Genomic DNA, 22048 nt, shown 5'->3' with positions numbered 1-22048 from the left:
AAGCATTGTTTTAAATAATTACGTGTGGCTGATTTTATTTTATTTAGCAAGAGAATTGGAAATGATTAACAGGTATCTGGATAATACTCTTTGGGTGGAGAATTTGCTCATAAATTTAGCTGCAACTTGGTTGAATGAACTGCATTCTGACTTTGATATATTTTGGTTTCTTCTCAATTTTTATAGCATTGTTGGATTTTATGGGCCCCACATGCTTCCACACAACTCTGTTGGCCTTGGTGGATTTTAATGTTTAAAATTAAAAGGCCCCATCATATATTCTTAGTTATTGTTACTATTATAGCTGGACAAAGATATGCTGGTAAGAGTTTGTAGCAATTGTGTGTGTGTGTGTATGCAGGGGTTGGGGGAGGTGGGTTTGCAGTGGTTGCTGCCCCTCAAAGAAGCAAGCATGTAGCTATCCAATGGGTTCTTCTTACCCACTGCCCAGATAGAGCCGATTTCTCAAAACAGAGGAATTGCAATAGAGTTTCATACACTCAGAGCCAGCTAAATGGGAGACCAGAGTTTTATTACTCAAATCAGTCTCCCTGAAAATTTTGAGACAGAGGTTTTTAAAAGATAGTTTGGCAGGCAGGGGCCTAAGGAATGGGGAATGCTGATTGGTTGGTTTGGGGATGAAATCATAGGGAATTGAAGCTGCCCTCTTTCACTGAGTCAATTCCTGGATGGGGGCCACAGATCAGATGAGCCAGTTTACCTGTCTGGGTGGTGCCAGCTGATCCATCAGAATGCAGGGTCTGAAAATTATCTTAGGTTTTATAATAGTAATGTTATCTATGGGAGCAATTGGGGAGGTTAGAAATCTTGTGGTCTCAGGCTGCGTGATTCCTAAGCCATAATTTCCAATCTTGTGGCTAATTTATTAGTTTTACAAAGGTGATCTGGTCCCCAAGCAAGGAGCAGGGGTTTGTTTTGGGGAGGGGCTGTTATCATCTTTGTTTCAAATTTAAACTATCAACTCCTCCCAAAGTTGGTTTGGCCTATGTCCAGGAATGAACAAGAGCAGCCTGGAGGTTAGAAGCAGGATGGAGTCAGGTAGGTCACATTTCTTTTACTGTCATAATTTTTGCAAAGGAAGTTTCAGGCATACCTCTTTTGACCTTGTTTTTTCCAGCCCCTTCTCTTTCTCTTGCAGCTGTGGTAGTGAGTAGGAAAGGAAGGTTAGCCTTGTGGAGGGCTCTTGAATTTCAATCCACCTCTTCAGCCTCCTTTAGAAATACTAGCAGAAATGAGCCTCATACCCCGTAAGATGTTGTTTAAGTGTCTGATTTTGCTATTTAAGGCTCTCTATGGATTGATTTCCACATTAACTCTTCAAAGTTCATGTCCCACTACTATAGGAAATGCCCCTGTATCTAGCTGGGTCTAGTCCTGGTCCTTCAACATGTTTCAGTGTCTTTTACTCTGCCCAAATTCAGTGCATGGTTCAAGGTTCACTTTAAGACTCAAATTCTACATGATTTTTTCTCTGGCATCGACTGCTCCATAGTATACTCCTTTGAATTCCTGTAACCCTAATCTATATACATAGGGTTGGCTGTTTGCTACAGTGGATTGCCCAAAAAATAAATCATAAAAATAGATGGTATGTTTAAGTTGAAGAACTATTGACTCATGCCTATCAGGCCCTGTGTTAAATGTTGAATGTTTCTTATTCAGCATTTAACATGTGGCCCTGCTTCCATGGAACTAAGAGGAACAGTGTTAAAAGTGACATTTAACCCAGGAATGAAGATCACATAATTTATGTATGTTCATGGAGCAAATATTATTATGGCTAAGAATGTCATAAAAGTGGAGATAAATCTATAAATCTATTTGTGGAAAAGAACATATAAGCTCTTGGGTTGGTTAGTAAGGGAGTCATACTTGGTCCCTTTTTTTTTTAGACGGAGTCTTGCTCTGTCACCCAGGCTGGAGTGCAGTGGTGCGATCTCGGCTTACTGCAACCTCCACCTCCCAGGTTCAAGTGATCCTCCTGCCTCAGCCTCGTGAGTAGCTGGGATTACAGGTACGTGCCACCACACCTGGCTAATTTTTGTATTTTTAGCAGAGACGGGGTTTCACCATGTTGGCCAGGCTGGTCTTGAACTCCTATACTTGGTCCCTTTTTATTGGAGCTCTGACTCAGTTCTCTCTAAAAGCCAATACCAAGTCCTTCCTCTTGAGAAAACAAAATAATAAATGCTAACAGGCAGGCACAGGCACAGATATTCTCTCACTTAGTCCTAACCACTGTCTCGTGAAGCAGGTATTATTATTCTCACTTTAGACATGGCAAGCCTCTGGAGAAGTAAAGTGACTGCTCCAGCATCACATGACCCATAGAGGCAAAGCTGGAAGGTGAATGCCAGGCTTCTGATGCCAGGTCTCCTGTCCTATCCTTTATGACCCTATTACTCCCTGGTGCTGCTCTCCATTCCAAATGTTTGATTATTAGATTTAAGGGGGTCTAAGCCAGGTAACATGAACAGGGAAAGATCAGCTGACAATATCTGATTGTTTGAAAATAATCCACAGCTTATGTTCTATTCATTCGATAGATGCTCATTGAACACCTACTATGTGCAAGGCCCTATAGTCCTTACTGTCAGAAAGTACAAAGCCTAGTATAAGATGCAAGTATATAAACAGGAAACTATAGTATAATATGGTGAGTACAGTGATGGCTGTACAGGAATTATGGGTATAGAATGAATGAATCAAGAATGAACCTTGTGAGATTGTTTGTCTGTACCACTGCTGCCCTTTCAAGGAGCACGTGTATTATTTTTTAGAAAACATTTTATTCTCTGTTCTAGGCACTTGGCCTGGCCCTGGTGATACAGCTGGGGGTGGGGGAGGGGAAAGGGTAAGTTCCTAAATAGTTAAAGAGAGGGTAACCTTCCAGACTTTAATAGAAGATCTATGCAGGAACAGAATGTTCTGCCTCTGGCAGTCAGAGAAGACTTTAAGAGATGACATTTAGATGATCTTTTATTTATTTCTTGCATTTTTCTGAGCTTGGGTTATTTTAAGGAAATTATAAATACTAGAAACTCAAGAGTTTTGATTTGCAATACCTTACCTAGAGCTGTTCAAAGAGCCATATGGTTCACAAGCTATTTCTGTCCCCATGATTCTGCTGAAACCATTCTCGTCAAGGTCACCAGCCACCTCCATGTTGCCAAATCAGGGGGTCAAGTCTCAAGCCTCGTCTTCATTTGAATTATTAGTAGCATTTAACACAGTTAGTCACGTGTTCCTTCAAATGCTTTCTTTAGGTAGTTTCCATGATACTAAACTCTCCTGGTGTTCTTCCCATCTTACCAGCTGCCCCTTTTTAGTCTTGTTTGCTAATTCTACCCCATCTCCCTGATCACGTAACATTGGGATATTTTAAAGCTCAGTCTTGGACTTCTTTTCTGCACTATCATCATTCATTCCAGCACTGTAGCCTTAAATACCATCCATCAACTGATGTATATCAAATTTTTATATCCAGCCTCGACTTCTTGCTTGAACTTCAGACTCCCATATCCACCTGCTAGTCCACATTTCTACTTGCTTGTCTGAGTGGTATCTTGAATGTAACATGTCCAAAATAGAATTCTGGACTCCTGTGCCTGCCTCCTACCTCCAGAATTCTCATTTAAGTTCTCTCCCACCATTCTACATCCCAGCACCTAAAACTCCATTCTTCTCGTTGTTCAGGCCAAAATACTTGGGGTTGTTAATAACTCATCTCTTTTTCCACACCCTACATCTAATCTATTGGTAAATCCTTTTTGTTCTACCTTCAAGATACATACAGAACTTGATCACTTCCACTGTCTCTACTTCTATTAACCTGGTCTAGGCCACTATCATTTCTTGCCTGGACTATTGCAATATCCCCAGTTCTTTGTATTGTGGCCAGAGCGATCCTTTCTATGCCCTGCTCAAAACAAAATCCAGTGTTCCTTAAACCTCTAAGGCACTGGCCCCTGTTTATACTCTTAACCTCATGTCTCAAGTTAGAGGACTCTAGACCTTTCAAACACCAGAATAATGTGGTGTCCTGCAAGGTAAGGCCTAACAGGGGAGGTTGTATGATAATCCAGAGTGCAGGAGTGAATGGAGGGGAGAAGGGACTCTCGGTGACTGCAGACTACTGTTTCGTGAAACATGAAGATAGAGGATGGGAGGGAGTCAAGATGGTAACGAAAGCAAGACTAAGGGCACTGAAGGAGGCTTTTCTTCCTCTAAGAGTTGAAAGACTTGAGTGTCTTTATGAGTTCATTGAAAGGAGGCCATGGAAGGGAGAGGCTAATGCTGTTGATCACTGACTTATCAGGGACACAAGTAAGCCAGTACTGCAAGGAGAGACAGTTAGGACCCACGTGAATATGGAAATCATAAATTGACTGCAGTCACTTTTGTTTGCTTAGTTGCATGGCTTTATCCCACCACTTCACTCTGTCTTCTGGCCAGAGCCTTCTAATTATCTTCAGTCTACTACCAGCCCTTTTGTTATGCCTGCCAGTTAATCCCAGTGCCTTCTCCCTTGTTCTGCTCCAGGCTCCTGAACACTGTGGATGTGACACAGGTCCTGAGGGTCACATTGCTTCCTGGATCACTATTCTTTGTCTCTTAATTCCTGCCCTCCTCCCAGGTGCTTTAAACTTATCTACTCCAAGCCAGTTGCAGTGGCTCATGCCCGTAATCACAGCACTTTGGGAGGCCAGGGTGGGTGGATCACCTGAGGCTGGGAGTTCAAGACCAGTCTGGCCAACATGGTGAAACCCTGTCTCTACTAAAAATACAAAAATTAGCTGGTTGTGGTGGTATGCACCTGTAATCCCAGCTACTTGGGAGGCTGAGGCAGGAGAATTGCTTGAACCCAGGAGGCAGAGGTTGCAGTGAGCCGAGATTGCACCACTGCACTCCAGCCTGGGTGACAGAGTGAGACTCCGTCTCATAAAAATAAAAAAATAAAAAAATAAAAAAAATAAATAAAATAAATAAAAACTTATCTGCTCCTGTGACATTTGTTTGATAGGGTCAGAGGCTGTGAAACTTTAGAAGCATACATGCTGTCTTTGGAATTTAAAAAATGTATCTACATGCCAACCGATCCATTATTTACTTAATATCTCTCTGTGAATTGAATCACTTTTGGAAAACTAAAACATATTTAAAAGGGAAACTTTATATCCTTACCATAAATGAAAACCACATCATTTGATCTAAGTGGAAGGTCATGGTAAGAAAAAAAGAAATGAAAACAAAACAGTGTTTTTAGATTTGATGCCTACAAAAAGTTAGGAGCCTGAGGCCTGCTTTCTTTTTTATAGGCAAGTATTTGGGAGGTATAGTCAGTACTACCAAATTGAGACTCACCCTTGCCTTAATCGAAAGGAAGAGGATAGAGGAAGATGAACATTCTTGCGCGCCCTCTGAAATCGTCTCCATTACCAACTAGGGTGGCATCCCTGGAAAGAGTGAGGCCCGGGTGTTTGTGTGCAGAGACAGCGCAAGGGTTGGCATGCTGTGGCTTGCTTAATCAGTTTCAGTTTAAGATTGGTTGAAGATCTTCATGTTAAGATATGGCAGTGGCCTCTTTAAAAGTCTTTTGTGCCCGGCGCAGTGGCTTATACCTATAATCCCAGCACTTTGGGAGGCTGAGGCAGGCGGATTACTTGAGCCTGGGAGTTTGAGACCAGCCTGGCCAACGTGGTGAAACCCCGTTTCTACTGAAAATACAAAAAGAGCCAGGTGTAGTGGTGGGCACCTGTAATCCCAGCTACTTGGGAGGCTGAGGCAGGAGAATTGCTTGAACCTGGGAGGTGGAGGTTGCAGTGAGCTGGGATCACGTCACTGTACTCCGGCCTGGGCGACAAGAGTGAGACTCTGTCTCAAAAAAAAAAAAAAAAAAGTCTTTTGCCTTCAGACCTTCCCCCTTCCAACCCACCCTGCCCACTGTTAGTGGATCTGTCTTCAGACGTGCTGCCTCATATTGTCCCTGTGTCCCTCGGGAAACTTTAATGGCTCCTTGTTGCCTATTTGATCCAGACCACAATGTTCAATTTGGCAACCAGTGAATCTACCACTCAAGTTTTATGGGCTTCCTGTATCTGCAGCAATATGTTAGATGGTGAGGGGACATAGAAAAAGGCAGAAATATACACCATGGTCCCAGAGTTTAAAAAATGTGTCATCTAGTTGAGACAAATCAAACACGAGTATGTGCACATATTATGGTGCATGTACACGACGAAGGGCTGGTGGTCAGAGAAGGCCTCATGAATCTGCCCATCCCTGGGCTTGGTCATCATATAGCTCATTTGTGGTGTGTGAATCTCATGCTGGCTGGGGTTTTCTTTTTTATTGTGGTAAAATATACAAAGTATAAAAGTTACCATTTTAACCATTTAAATTATACAATTCAGTGGCATTTTGTACATTCACAACGCTGTGCAGCTGTCCCCACTGTTTCAAGAAAATTTTCATCACTTCAAAGGAAACCTGTACCCGGTAAGCAGTCACTCCCCATTCTTTCTTCCTCCCAGTCCCTGCCAACCATTAATCTGCCTTCTGTCTCTATGAATTTGCCTATTTTGTATATTTCATATAAATGGAATCATATAATATGTGGCCCTTTGTATCTGGCTTTTTTCTCTTAGCATAATGTTTTCAAGGTTCATCCACATGGTAGCACGATATCAGTGCTTTGTTCCCTTTGGCGGCAGAATAACATTCCATTGTATGGATATACCACAACTGTTTAACCATTCATCAGCTGATAGACATTTGGGATGTTTCCACCTTTTGGCTATTGTAAATAATGCTGCTATGAACATTTATGTGTAAGTTTCTTTCTGTGGATGTATGTTTTCAATTCTCCTGAGAATATACTGAGAAGTGCAACTGCTGGATCATATGATGATTCTATGTTTAACTTAATGAGAAACTGCCAAACTGTTTTCCACAGCAGCCATACTAGTGTACATCCCCACCAGCAAGGTGTGACAGTTCCAATGTCTCCACATCCTCACCAACATTTATTTTTCATTTTAAAAAAATTATAGCCACCCTAGTGAATGTGAAGCGTTATCACAGTATATGTATGTATATATGTATTTATTTTTGAGACAGGGTCTCCGTCGCTTAGGCTGGAGTGCAGTGGTGCGATCATAGCTTCATAGCTCACTACAGCCTCAGCCTCGTGAGCGCAAGCGCTCCTTTCACCTCAGCCTCCCGAGTAGCTGGGACTATACGCATGCACCGCCATGCCTGGCTAATTTTTGTATTTTATGTAGAGACAAGGTCTCACCATGTTGCTCAGGCTGGTCTCAAACTCCTGGACTCAAATGATCTGCCTGCCTAAGCCTCCCAAAGTATTGAGATTACAGGTGTGAGCCACTGTGCCAGGCTTCATTGTACTTTTGATTTACATTTCCCTAATGACTAATGGCATTGGACATATTTTCATGTGCTTGTTGGCCATTTGTATATCTTCTTTGGAGAAATGAGGGTCGTGGTCAACTCAGTATACCACTGGAGGCTATATGAGTAAACAGCAAACTTTCTCATAAATGCAGAATGTTGGCAAACTGACAAACTGCGTCTGCCACCCAGAAGGAATGCTGAGGGCAGTTATGCCCCAAGTGCAGTGTTTATTGTGATTAGGTACATCAGAAGCCTGTTAGTAATAATATGAACCTGTGATCAATTAAGGAGCTGACCAATCATTACCTCCTCCTCCCTACTCATTCTACCCAATAAATACGAAGGGCTGTGGAAGCTCAGGGGGGCTGCCTTTGCTCACTAGAAGCAGGGAGCTCTCTTCTTCCCCGGACCCTTCCTTTAAAACAGTTTCTTTTGTCTTAAGTTTTCATTTCTATGTTCATCCCCCTTCGTTCAGTCTCGTAATGACGGTCTCAAGTAGTAACAATAGTAACTCTTGTAATGACGGTCTCAAGTACTAACAGTAGTAACTGTTGTAATGACGGTCTCAAGTACTAACAGTAGTAACTGTTGTAATGACGGTCTTAAGTAGTAAAAGTAGTAACTGTCGTGGTGACAGTCTCAAGTAGTAACTGTGGCAGTCTACCACATCCTTTGCCCATTTTTAAATTCAATTGTTTGTGTTTTTGCTGAGTTGTGAGAATCTTTATATATTCTATATAATAGACCCTTATATGATTTCCAAATATTTTCTGTCATTCTCTGGGTTTCTCTGTTTTTTAGAAATGACATCTCACTCTATTGCCCAGGGTGGTCTTGAACTCCTGGGCCCCAGTGATTCTCCCAGCTTAGCCTCTTAAAGTGTTGCTGGGATACAGGCTTGAGCCACCTCACCCAAACTTCATTCTATGGATTTTTTCACTCTCTTGATAGTATCCTTTGACACACAGTTCTAATTTTGATGAAGCCCAATTTATTTTTCCTTTTGTTGCTTGTGCTTTTGGTGCCACATGTATGAAACCCATTGCCAAATCCAGAGCCATAGTGACTGGCTTCTATTCTAGGGTTGGGAGCTGTGGCTTGCCCAAGGCCATGTCCCCAAAGTCTCTCACAACTTAGCACCCAATGGATGCTCACCAGATGTTTGTAGAAGGGATGACTATGTAGTGGGATGTGAGCTGACCCTTGGTGGGGAGAGGGGTTTGTGTAGAAGTATAGCCTGACCAGGGACATGACTTTGAATAGACATTAAGGTACCTTATAAGCTGTAAGATGTGGTCTGACCAAAGAGGAGGGTACACATGAACAAATTGTGGAATTCTGGGGGACAGGTAGCTGAGTGAGGCCTTCAACGGTGGCAAGGGCTTTTTCCATGTGATTATGGAAACCTAGATCCATGGAGGAAACTTGTGAGTAGTGGAGAAAGCTCCTCAGGGGAAGGAAGGCTGGCTGTGACTTCATCTTTATACCATACTCTCTAGAATAGGGCCTGGCCGGTATTAGGCTTTAGTAAATATTCCAGTGGCCTGATGAGGGAGACTTTTAAGATATTTACATGAGAGGCTTTTCATGATATAGTCCTCCTTATATATTCTACTCTAGCTCGCCCTCCTTCCAAACTTGACCTTGACTTTCTTTTTTTACCAGATTCGCCCCTCTCCTAGGTGCTGTCAGCTCAGCTGCAGTACATCACTCCTAACCCTGCTTGGAACATCCTTGCCTCTCCTCTCCTATCTAATTCATCTCATTCCTCCAGGCCCAAGACAGTATCCAGTTATCCACAGAACCTCAACACTACTACTCCAGCACATCAGTGTATGGCTCTAGTCAGCCATACACTTAGCTATACACTTACCAGAGCTTAGGGTCACATGATCTTAGGTTCAGATGCAGGCTCCACTAGTTACTGTGTAAGCTTGGGTGGGCCAGTCTCCCTCTCTCTGCCTTGGTTTCCTCATTGGAAAAATGGCAGTAATAACACTGCTAAAACAGTTCTGTGACAGTGAAATGAGATAATAAATGAGATATAAAACCCTTAGTAAAGCATCCAGCTCATAGTAAGCGGTCAAAAATGGTAGCTGTACTGTTTTCTAGTTGTTTGCTGTATTTGGCTGTTCTCGTGTTGCTATAAAGAAATACGTGAGGCTGGGTAATTTATTAAAAAAAAAAGGCTTAATTGGCTCATGGTTCTGCAGGCTGTACAAGAAGTGTGGTGTTGGCATTTGCTTCTGATGAGGGCCTCAGAAAGCTTCCAATCATGGTGGAAGGCAAAGGGAGAGCCAGTGTATCACATGGTGAGAGTGGGAGAAAGAGAGAGAAGGGGGAGGTCCCAGACTCTTTTAAACAAGCAGATCTCATGTGAAATAACTGAGCGACAACTCATTTATCACTAAGGGGATGGTGTGAAACCATTCATGAGAGATCTGCCCCCACGATCCAATCACCTCCCACCAGGCCCCCACCTCCAACACTGAGAATCACATTTCAACATGAGATTTGGAGAGGACAAACATCCAAACGGTATCATTTTATATATCTAAATCTTGCTTCCTCCGCAAGATTGTGGGTTTTTTTCTTCAGGGCAGGGGCTGAGTCTTATGCTTATTTTAACTCGTATATTTGGCACAAAGTTAGGACTATAGTAAGTACTTAAGAAACATTTGTTGGTTCGAGGTGACTTTGTGATTACTCGGAGTTACTTGCTTTAGGAGACAGTATATCATTATTGAATTCTATATTATTCTACGATTCATTTTCTGAAACCCAACTTTTGCTTTGTTTTATGGGGATCTGGGACTGACTTGTGGTAATCTGATTGTATGTGTGAGCAAGTGTGTGTGTGTGTATGTGTGAGAGAGAGAGACAGAGAGAGAGAGTGGAGGGAATGGTGGAGGTAGCGACAATTGATTCCCTAAGGGACAGAGCCAGCTACAGCTCACCATCCTAACCACTGCATCTAGCTTTCCTCTCCCAGCCCTAGAGCTGGGCTGTTATCTGCCCAGGGCAGCTGTTATGGCCCTGACTCCCCTGGGGAGGGCTGCTCAGGCCTTCCTCATTCTTCCAGGCTGCCTTTACCACAAAAGGAAATGAGGTATTTTTGACCTTATCAGACTTCTCTGCCAAGGCATCATGTTTTGCAAGAGGCTATTGCCCTGGCTATATACAGTCCTGGGCAGTGTGCTAACATTAAAGAAGCAAATTCAGGATAATGGTTACCTCTGGATAAGGGAGGCAGGGCTATGAGCTCTGAGATAAAGCTTCAGTTATCTCTGAGGTATTTATTTTTTATGCAGGGCTGTGGGGCATATGAGTGTTCATTTATTATCATGAACATTGTATAATCTTGTATTTGCTGCTTATCATTTCTATGCATGTATTATCCATAAATATTACCGTATTTTTCGAGTATTTTCCAGCTTTACATATGTGTCGTGAAATTTTATGTGTACTTCAGCTACCTATATTTTTTGCCTGGCAGTTTTTGAGATTTGTCTATTTTGTTTGTTTGTTTTTTTGAGATAGAGTTTTGCTCTTGTTGCCCAGGCTGGAGTGCAGTGGCATGATTTCGGCTCACTGCAACCTCCGCCTCCCAGGTTCAAACGATTCTCCTGTTTCAGCCTCCCAAGTAGCTGGGATTACAGGTGCCCACCACCATGCCCGGCTAATTTTTTATATTTTTAGTAGAGATGGGGTTTCACCATGTTGGCCAGGCTGGTCTAGAACTCTTGACCTCAGGTGATCCTCCCGCCTCAGCCTCCCAAAGTGCTGGGATTACAGGTGTGAGCCACTGTGCCTGGCCTAGATTTGTCTATATTGATACGTGTAATATTAGACTCTGTATTAATATTCCATGTTATAAAGAGATGTATCTTTTCTGCTATTGGGTAGACATTTCAGTGGTTTCCTATTTTTCACTTTTGCAAACAATGCTATAACAATAGTCTGATATGCAGTTCCTTGTGCCTAAGACAAGATACTTCTGTAGGAGTGGATTGGCTAGGCCATAGGACATATATGCCTCTCTCTTTGCTCGTATTGCCACATCGCTCCTCAGAGTGATTGTCCTACTTTACCTTCCCACCAGCAGTGCACAAATGTTGATGTTGGCCATGTCCTTGCCAACCCTTGGTAGTTGTATCTGTGCTTTCTCCTCTCTCTCCAGATCACCAGAAAAGGTGGGAGTTAAGGTTTTTCAATTAAAGGAGAATGTCAGCTCTGAAGAATTTCCTGTTACATTTACTTTAATGAGGAAAAGATTTTGTTCTCTGTTTTGGTGAAAATAATGTTTAGACTTCTGTGGAAAACAGTTACATACACTTTTTATTCTGAAGCAGAGCAGTTTTTTCTTTCTTTCTTTCTTTTTTTTTTTTTTTTTGCTGTTTGCATTCTTGGCAAACAAGTAGGAAAGACCAATTAGCAAGCTAATGTTCTAAATATTTACTTGCAGTAACAGTCATTTTTTAATGTTTTATATAGCATGGAACATTAGGTTTATGTGTACTGCTTTTCAATGTTTTGAATTGATTAAAATGAATTAAATTTAAGAATGTGACACAACTTTATGGATAAAGATTGATCATAATTATTTGCCACTTTATTTGCATTTTGTGAGGGAAAAATACATGGTAAGAAAATGTGTTGACATTTTACAAACAGGTTAGAAAAGTCATAAAGAGTAACTTTGGCTATTTTATGTTGTCTCTTATGTTCACAGGTGGGAAAGGAGAAGTTTCACAAATCCCAACATTGGGGCTTTTGCAACAATGTTATGATGTTGGTGAGTGATGAAAAGCCTGGAATAGGTGGAGAACCACTTCTGGGGCAAAAGATAAAGCCTAAATGTAGCATATATCCTAAAGGAGATGGAAGTGATGTACCATCATGGGTAGCCTTTGATAAACAGGTAAGTCACATGACACTGGGAGGAATGCAGTCTTAGCATTTTACAGATGCTAAATAATTTAGTTTTGAGAAAGTAGGAGTCTTCAGTGTAAATGTTAAGGCTAGTTCTTTTTCTTTTTGCCTTTTCTACTTATTATTGCCTTTATTTTTAGTGTTTTATTTTTAGTGTTTCTCCCTTTGTCTTTATTTGTTTAAATTGACAAACATAATTGTATATATTTATGGTGTACAACATGATGTTTTGAAATATGTATACACTATGGAATGGCTAAATTGAGCTAATTAACATATGCGTTACCTCATGTGCTTCTCTTTTTTTGTGATGAAAACACTATTGTCTTACAATTTTCAAATATACAATACATTGTTATTAGCTATAGTCATTGTGTTATACAATAGATCTCTTAAACGTATTCCTCCTAAGTGAAATTTTGCTTCTTTTGACTAAGGTTAGTTCTTCTGAAAAGATAAATTCAAGAACAAAAGTATCCTAAACAAAGAAAAATCATTCTTGCTCTGCTCTTTTTTATCAGGCACATTGGTTGCAGAATGCCAAATGTTTATCTTTCTTGGCTAATGCTTATTAACCTTTCTCTCATCTCCTTCACTGGACAGGATAATCTGTCCTATAGAAACTAAGAGTCTCGTCAGATTGTCACTTTTGCTTTTGAGTTGCCATTGACTAAATAATTGTGTTTGAGTCTGAATGTGGCTTTAAATAGGAATAGAAAAATGCCTTCTCTTCTTTTCTCCATACTAATTAGTAATAAACCGTAGTAATGATTCCCCATCCCTAAGGGCTAAAATGTGATGTGGCAAGAAGAATAGTGAAAGGAAGTGATGCCATTATTAGACAAGAGTTGGAATTTTTTAATGTATATGTCTATACACATACACACACATATACATATGGACATATTGGCAGTTAGAAAAAGGAATGTATTTGAATATTTTTTAAAAAGGCTAAGATCAGAGGAAAGAAAAGGCGACCAGCTATATGGATATGCTGTGTTTATCAGATAGCCCTGTATCACAGCCCAATGTTCTGTTCTCCAGAAAGAACTAGTTATTAGATTATTTTAGATCCTGTAATTGAAAGATAGTTCAGGACTAGATAAAGAATTGAAACCATAGCATGCTAAGTTTACCAGGTGGTTTTTAGCAGCTTTTAACATGGATTGGTTGGCAGTACTTTGATTCTAATTAAAATGTCCTCAAATTGACACATCCCCATGTCATCTGTGATAGGGTAGATCAATTAGAGTGCACATTTTTTTTTGAAGCCTAGTTCTGACACTTATAGTGATCTAACAGACCACAGGGAGGCTTCCTTCCTGGGAAACCATTTCTCCTTTCAACATGGGCCAATATTCTTTTCTTGGATTATTTTCAGTACCTGGCTCAGTGCTGGACCCAAAGCTCAAAAACAATTCTGGGCTGACTGACTTGGGTGGATTATGCATAGTTTTCTGTTACTCTCAATCTTATAGGATGTTTACTTTGCATGGGCCAAAGAAAAGATTCTATTTTTACCTCATGTAAAATAGAGGGTATCGACAATATTTTAAACTAATCCACTACTGAATAAGTATCGTAGGCCACAATGTATTAATATTAAACTATTCTCTTGCATTTCAAGTCGAAAAGTCATTTCATGTTTTTCTCAATATTTAATATGTGCCTTTCAAGCCTATTTTGCAGGCCTTTAATTACTTATGTAGAATATTTCATGAATCTGGAATAATTTTAGCTTCAGACTACTTGAGTAAACGAAGAGCTTGCTCATTTCAGGGCTAACTAAATGCAACATAATTCTTTCAGTTATTTTGTTGGTCAACTTCTATTAAATATTCATTGAGCTTTAAATGAGACACTAAGACTGAAATATTTACGTGCTCTGATGAGACTGTGAACTACAGACTAGATCCTGGTTAATACCCCAAGCAAATTATAAAGCGCTTTCTACATTAGCGGTTCAACAAAAACAAGTCAACACTTGTTAATCATTTGTCTTAAAAATGAGACATTTTCAGTGCACCCCATCCCAGCCGCCCGGTCCCGGCCCCTCACTCTCCTTTGCCGCGCTACCACCATGCTCTCCGTCCGCGTCCCGCTGCTGCACATTACGGACCCGCAGCAGCTGCAGCTCTCGCCGCTGAAGGGGCTCAGCCTGGTCGACAAGGTGAACAGGCCGCCGGCCCTGAGCGGGACCCGGGTTCTGGCCAGCAAGACTGCATGGAGGATCTTCCAGGAGCCCGCGAGCCGAAAACTAAAGCAGCTGCCCCCGGCGTGGAGGATGAGCCGCTGCTGAGAGGAAACCCTTGCCGCTTTGTCATCTTCCCCATCGAGTACCATGATATCTGGCAGATGTATGAGAAGGCGGAGGCTTCCTTCTGGACCACCGAGGAGGTGGACCTGTCCAAGGACATTCGGCACTGGGAATCCCTGAAGCCCGAGGAGAGATATTTTATATCCCATGTTCTGGTTTTCTTTGCAGCAAGTGATGGCATAATAAATGAAAATTTGGTGGAGCGATTTAGCCAAATAGTTCAGATTACAGAAGCCCGCTGTTTCTATGGCTTCCAAATTGCCATGGAAAACATACATTCTGAAATGTATAGTCTCCTTATTGACACTTACATCAAAGATCCCAAAGAAAGGGAATTTCTCTTCAATGCCATTGAACGATGCCTTGTGTCAAGAAGAAGGCAGATTGGGCCTTGCGCTGGATTGGGGACAAAGAGGCTACCTATGGTGAACGTGTTGTAGCCTTTGCTGCAGTAGAAGGCATCTTCTTTTCTGGTTCTTTTGCATCGATATTCTGGCTCAAGAAACGAGGACCGATGCCTGGCCTCACGTTTTCCAATGAACTTATTAGCAGAGAAGAGGGTTTACACTGTGATTTTGCTTGCTTGATGTTCAAACACCTGGTACACAAACCATCGGAGGAGAAAGTGAGAGAAATAATTATCAATGCTGTTCAGATAGAACAAGAATTCCTCACCGAGGCCTTGCCTGTGAAGCTCATTGGGATGAATTGCACTCTAATGAAGCAATACATTGAGTTTGTGGCAGACAGACTTATGCTGGAACTGGGTTTTAGCAAGGTTTTCGGAGTAGAGAGCCCATTTGACTTTACGGAGAATATTTCACTGAAAGACTAACTTCTTTGAGAGGAGAGTAGGCGAGTATCAGAGGATGGGAGTGGTGTCAAGTCCAAAAGAGAATTCTTTTACCTTAAATGCTGACTTCTAAATGAACTGAAGATGTGCCCTTATTTTGCTGATTTTTTTCCATCTCATAAAAAAAATCAGCTGAAGTATTATCAACTAGCCACACCATGAATTGTCCATAATGTTCATTAACAGCATCTTTAAAACTGTGTAGCTACCTCACAACCAGTCCTGTTTATTTATAATGCTGGTAGTATCACCTTTTGCCAGCAGGCCTGGCTGGCTGTGACTTACTATAGCAGTGACAATGGCAGTCTTGGCTTTAAAGTGAGGGTTGACCCTCTAGTGAGCTTGGCACAGCAGGATTAAACAGTCATTTAACCAGCACAGGGAGTTGAAAGTTGAAAGATGCAGCCTCACTGCTTCAGCGCAGATTTCAATGTTTACTTAAATATAAAACTGGCACTTTACAAACAAATAAACATTGTTTGTACTCACAAGGCGATAATAGCTTGATTTATTTGGTTTCTACACCAAATACAAAGCATTCTCCTGACCACTAATGGGAGCCAATTCACAATTCACTAAGTGACTAAAGTAAGTTAAACTTGTGTAGACTAAGCATGTAATTTCTAAGTTTTATTTTAGTGAATTAAAATACTCGTTAACCAACTTTAAAGTCAGTCCTGTGTTTAGATAGATACTAGTCTGTTGGTGCCAGATAGAAGACAGGTTGTGTTTTTATCCTGCGGCTTGGGTAGTGTCCTGGGATTCTCTGCCCCCTCTGAGTAGAGTGTTGTGGGATAAAGGAATCTCTCAGGGCAAGGAGCTTCTTAAGTTAAATCACTAGAAATTTAGGCGTGATCTGGGCCTTCATATGTGTGAGAAGCCGTTCCATTTTATTTCTCACTATATTTTCCCCAATTTCTAGTTGATAAGAAAAAACTATTGAAGAGTTTTTTTTTCTTTTTTTTTTCTTTTAATACAAGAATATGTCTCTTTTTATTGAGGTCTTTTTTATGTGCTATGATTAAATTAAATGAGATAATGCTTTAAAAGCACTTATATGTGGGAGCTAAGGTAGTATTGTAAAACTTCAAGTCATCCTTAAACAAAATGACCAACCTAAGATCTTGCTCCTGTTAAGTGGTGAAATCAACTAGAGGTGGTTCCTACAAGTTGTTGTTTATTCTAGTTTTGTTTGTGTGTAAGTACGTTGTGTGAGTTAATTCATTTATATTTACTATGTCTTTTAAATCAGAAATTTTTTATTATGTATGTCCTTTTAGATTTTACCTGTAGTTCATACTTTAAAATAATCACCCAGTGTCTTATTCTAGCATTGTCTAAATCTGAGTATTATCTAGGGGAATCTTAAACTTCAGTAGGAAACCATGAGTTATTCATACAGTTTCCATTCAAATATTAATTTCAGAACGAAACAAAATTTTTTTTTTTTTTTGAGACAAAGTCTCGCTCTGTAGCCCAGTCTGGAGTGCAGTGGTGCGATTTTGGCTCACTGCAACCTCTGCCTCTTGGGTTCAAGCAATTCTCCTGTCTCAGCCTCCCGAGTAGCTGGGACTGCAGGTATGTGCCACCACACCTGGCTAATTTTTTTATTTTTAGTGGAGATGGAGTTTCACCATGTTGGTCAGGCTGGTCTCGAACTCCTGACCTCAGGTGATCCACCCACCTCAGCCTCCTAAAGTGCTGGGATTACAGGCATGATAAACAAATATTCTTAATACGGCTACTTTGAATTAATCTGCCTTTATGTTTGGGAGAAGAAAGCTGAGACATTGCATGAAAGATGATGAGAGATAAATGTTGATCTTTTGGCCCCATTTGTTAATTGTATTCGCTATTTGAACATTGTCCTGTTCTATTGTTAGTTTCCTTCATCATTTATGGTATAGTCAATTTTTAAATCTCTGTAATATAATACATTTTCCTATCTTTTAAGTTATTGTTACCTAAAGTTAATCCAGATTATATGGTCCTTATACTTGTACAACATTAAAATGAAGAAAGCCAAAAAAAATAAAAGACGTTTTCAACTTGTTGCCAGTTTTTCCAGTAGCTTTTAATCCTAGCAATATATCTAGCATTACACTCTCAAATAATACAAAGTAAAAATAAAGACAGTTCTTTGGAAAGTGTATTAAAATTAATATTTGTAGTAGATGCTCTTTGTGCCCACCCAGATCCATGCTGGGGTGGTGATCCCCCACCCCCAGCTGTGACAAATGGTTTGACAAACAGCTCACACCTGTAACCCTCTCTGGAGACTTGCTCTTGGCTGATGGGAGTTGCATCTCTCAGAGACACCTGAGAGGTTACACTGGCCCCTTTCCCCTAAGAGGGGGCAGCTAATAACTGATTTATCAAGGGTAAAAAAAGGTCAGCTTCCTTGCCTGAAGGGGGGATAATTCTTTGCTATGATTCAGGCTCCATAGCCCCTCGTGCATCAGACCAAGGCTACACTTGACCTGAGAATGCATCCTTGCTTGCGCGGTTCATTTCCCTTTCCTTTGCTGCTTCCCTCACTCCCTTACAGGTTTCTCCCAAGAGTCTGCCCTTAATAAATCACATGCACTAAAATCCCTGTTTCAGGCTCTGCCTCTATGGAACCCCAACCTAAGACAACATTCCAGGTTTTAATCCATAATTCTGAAAGCAACCACCAAAATGCCTTGCTCAAGTAGACTATCACATTACAAGCAGAGAAAATGCCTTTTGCAATCATGAAAAGGAGCCAGTATTTGTTATCCCGCATGGCCCCTGCGGCAGACACTTCTAGCTGTTTATCCTTTATGCATTCTACCCTTCCTTCTTATAGGCAGAACGGTTTTATGCAGGCTGGAATTGTGCCCACTTAAATGTGTTACCTCCCCAGGCTCCTTGCAGCTAGGGCTGGCCGCATGACTCACTTTTGGCCAATGATATATGCATTAAGATTTATTGGGTGGGGCTCGTGGGAGAGTTACTATTTTTCTAATGAAAACAGGCTCAGCAGGTATGATTTTCCTACCCTTTGCCCTCCTTTTGTTTTTCCTGTCTGGAACTAGTGTTACCGAACCAAACTGGGTCCATTTACCTGCATGCAAGGGAAAGCCAAACGCCAAAGCACCAGGTTTTTGCAGCAAGAAAGGTTTATTGAGTTGATTGGCAAGGAGACAGGAGGAAACACTCAAATCTGTCTCCTGGAGCTGGGGGCTGGGTCGGGTTTTATAAGCATAGTGTAATGAGGTGTGATCTGATTGCATCTTGCAATGAGGTGATGCTGGGAGGCATAATCTGATTGGATCCTGCTATGGGGTGACACCAGAGCACGATCTCTTTGGTTCCTGGATCCTGCCATATGGGGTCCACTTCTTAATTCAGTCCCTGTTCCTTGGTCCAAGCACTTAGGTTTCACCTGTGCACACTTGGTTCAACTGGGCATGCTCGGGTTGTATGACCTTCAACCCTGGGGTCCACGGCAACTGAAAAACAACTCACGATTTTGTTTTATAAAAGTTGAACTAGATTAGTCTGGTGCGGTTACACTAGGACATAATTCCTAGGGCACAGCAGCTATCTTGTGAGCATGACAGAGATAAAGGAAACCTAGGTCCTTGTTGGCATCATGGAGCCACTGTTTAAGGCCCAGGCTGCCTCTCTTTGGACTTGTAGTTATGTGAGAAAAATCAGGCTATATTTCAGAGATTCTCAACCTAGCAAGGTATTTGGAAATATGTGGAGGTGTTTTGAGTTGTCACAATGATCAGGAGCAGGGCCAGACTAGGGTAAGGCAAATGAGGCACTTGCCTTCGGTGCAACATTTGGGGTGCCCCAAAACTCAGCAATTAAGCTAGATAATATTTTATTATCTAATTATTATTATTATCTGTTATTAAGCTAGTATAATATTTTAAAAAATCAAATTAATGCCAGAAATTCATGATGAACAAAATGCCAACATTTTAAATAAAGACAAGATCAGCAACTGTGCCATGGAAGTTATATTGGAGCCTGAGGCAAAAGGAAAAATCAGTAATACTGATCCAATCTTCATTAAAAATTTGGCATTTTGATATTTTGTTTCTCCTGGATATTTTGCATTAATTTTGTTTTATTTTATTATTTTTTTTTGAGGCGGAATCTCGCTCTGTTGCCCAGGCTGGAGTGCAGTGGCACGATCTTGGCTCACTGCAACCTCCGCCTCCCAAGTTCAAGCGATTCTCCTGTCTCAGCCTCCCGAGTAGCTGGGACTACAGGCACCCACCACCACACCCGGCTAATTTTTGTATTTTTAGTAGAGACGGGATTTCGCCATGTTGACCAGGCTGGTCTCGAACTCCTGACCTCAGGTAATCCACCCCCCTCAGCCTCCCAAAGTGCTGGGATTACAGGCATGAGCCACCACGCCTGGCTTGCATTAATTTTGATGTTTTAAATCGCCTCACCCTAGGGCCAGCCCTGACCAGGAGGTGCTGCTACCATTGAGTATCCAGGGGCCAAGTGTATATTTTATATCCTGCAGTGTGGGGAAGGCAACCCTACATTGGGGAAAAATTGTTCTACCTCAAATGCCAATACTGTTTCCACCGAGAAACACAGTGTGTGTACTACTTGCTTAAAACCCGTAGCATTGGGAGAATTTCTAAAAACAGGCAAAAGAATTTTGCTTAATACTGCACCCACCCTTCAAAGACTTCGTTATTTCATTGAATTCATTTAAATAAAAGCAGACTATGATGGGGCCAAGACAAAAACAAGACTATTCCATAATCATAACTGTCTGAACACAGAACACGAACACTGTCCAAGTCACAAAATGCATCACTCACGCCAGTTATTTCCAGTCATCATCCCAGTACCTCCATGAGTAGGAAGCAAATATAGACGGTTGTCCTCATCATATAAATGAAGAATCATTCTCAAGGAGAAATGGAGCAGGAACCAGAGTCTGAGACTGGGTGTTGGAGGCACTGATTCTGGTTCTGGTCCCGCCATTAACTATATGTGTGATTGTGGCTTAGTCACTTTACCTCTCTGAGCCTCAGTTTCCTTAACTATAATGCAGGACTTGGCTAGCTGATCTGTAAGGCCCTTTTACCTCTGGCAATTTACGTCTAAAACTTGACTAAAGTCAAATTCAGCTTGTTTATCCTAGAACTGAGCCCAGACCCTGGATCTAATGGCCTAGGACTCTCTAATTACATCAGGCACCCACTACTTCATTATTAATTGAAATTTGGCATTTAGCAGTTTATGCTACGCTATGGTGGCTGTATAAGATCTATAGTTAGCTGCTTTTATAAAACGTTGGAATATTTAGAAATATACAAATGACTGAATGTTTTTATATGACTTTCGTCTGGAAGTTAAGCCCCATTTACATAGACTCTACAATTTTGCTCTCATTTTTCATTTGTCAACAGCTCCTAGTTAGCCTAATTTGTTTGCTATTTCACAAATGACTCAGTTATAGTAAGTGGCAAGATAAAAGTTGATCTTATGGGATATGCATACATTTGAAAATATTATTTCTTTTTTTTTCCATCTATTGTAAACATAATGGTTATAATCAAAACTACTGACCGCACAATTGAATTTTAATCACTTACATTAATTGACATCGAGCTTGTAATGAGCTGATTATTTATGTAGCTGATTATTTATGTAGCTGTGTGACTCTATGATTTGAACAATATAAAAATAAATTTTTAAAATATAATTTGGTCCCCTGGGTCATCTTGATTTTTTTTTTTTTTTTTAGATTAAACAAGTTAGTTTATTATTCATTTGCAGCAAGGGAAAAAACATACCCTAAGCAACTGTGGGATGTCTAATGAAGCAGGTGTTAGAAAAGGCTTATTATAGGATTTGGGCTTGTGTTAAGTAATTGTGGGGAGTGATTAAGGAAGCAGGGCTTTGCTCTGGATTGGGTGCTATCAGGAAGTAGGGGTACATCTACAACTGGGTATCTTAATAAATCTCAGAGGGAGAGAACAGACTAGAGTGAGTCTATACCTATAATTGGGAGAGAAGCAGCTGTCACTTCTGTGAGCCAGGAGAGGGGGATGTTTGACATTTCATGGCTGGACAAGGTTCATTTTCTGTGTTTAGATGTGACTGTGGAGTGGTCTTGGTTTTGTCTTGATCCGTCACGGTCACAGAGTGGCCTTGTCTGATGTTGGTGGTCTCTGAAATTATTCTTGTTTAGCAGGAGAACACCAAGGCCTAGCTGTGGATGCCAGGCCAGCTTGTAACAGCACCAAGACCAGCTGATAGTATAGGCCGGCTCCTGGATGTCAGGGGCTACTTTTCTCTTTCTTACCCAGTACTAGCTAGAATTTTTAATTTTCCTGCGGTAGGATTAACGAATGATCAGGTACATTATAATTTCACTTGCTTAACAAAGAACAATACGTAAATACAGATTCTTGAAGTTTTGCCTAAAGCCAGTTAGGAATGTTATAAAATATAATCAGAATATATAAAAATAAAATACAATTAAGCTTTTAAAAAAACTG

At 40.9% G+C, this 22048-nt stretch overlaps 1 protein-coding gene and 1 pseudogene across 3 annotated transcripts in view; both read left to right on the top strand.

Moving 5' to 3' along the window:
• EFHC2 (EF-hand domain containing 2) overlaps positions 1 to 22048 on the top strand; it is a 195801-nt gene that overhangs the window by 18750 nt on the left and 155003 nt on the right. For all 3 annotated transcript variants that reach the window (XM_047442535.1, NM_025184.4, XM_047442536.1), the window contains exon 2: positions 12167 to 12355. In XM_047442535.1, the coding sequence (XP_047298491.1) occupies positions 12167 to 12355 (189 nt within the window). The remainder of the gene's footprint in view (positions 1 to 12166; positions 12356 to 22048) is intronic.
• Positions 14387 to 17553, top strand: RRM2P3 (ribonucleotide reductase M2 polypeptide pseudogene 3; annotated as a pseudogene).

Source organism: Homo sapiens, chromosome X (assembly GCF_000001405.40).
Source record: "Homo sapiens chromosome X, GRCh38.p14 Primary Assembly".
Classification (NCBI taxonomy): Eukaryota; Metazoa; Chordata; class Mammalia; order Primates; family Hominidae; genus Homo; species Homo sapiens.
This window is presented reverse-complemented; position numbering and strand designations above follow the sequence as displayed.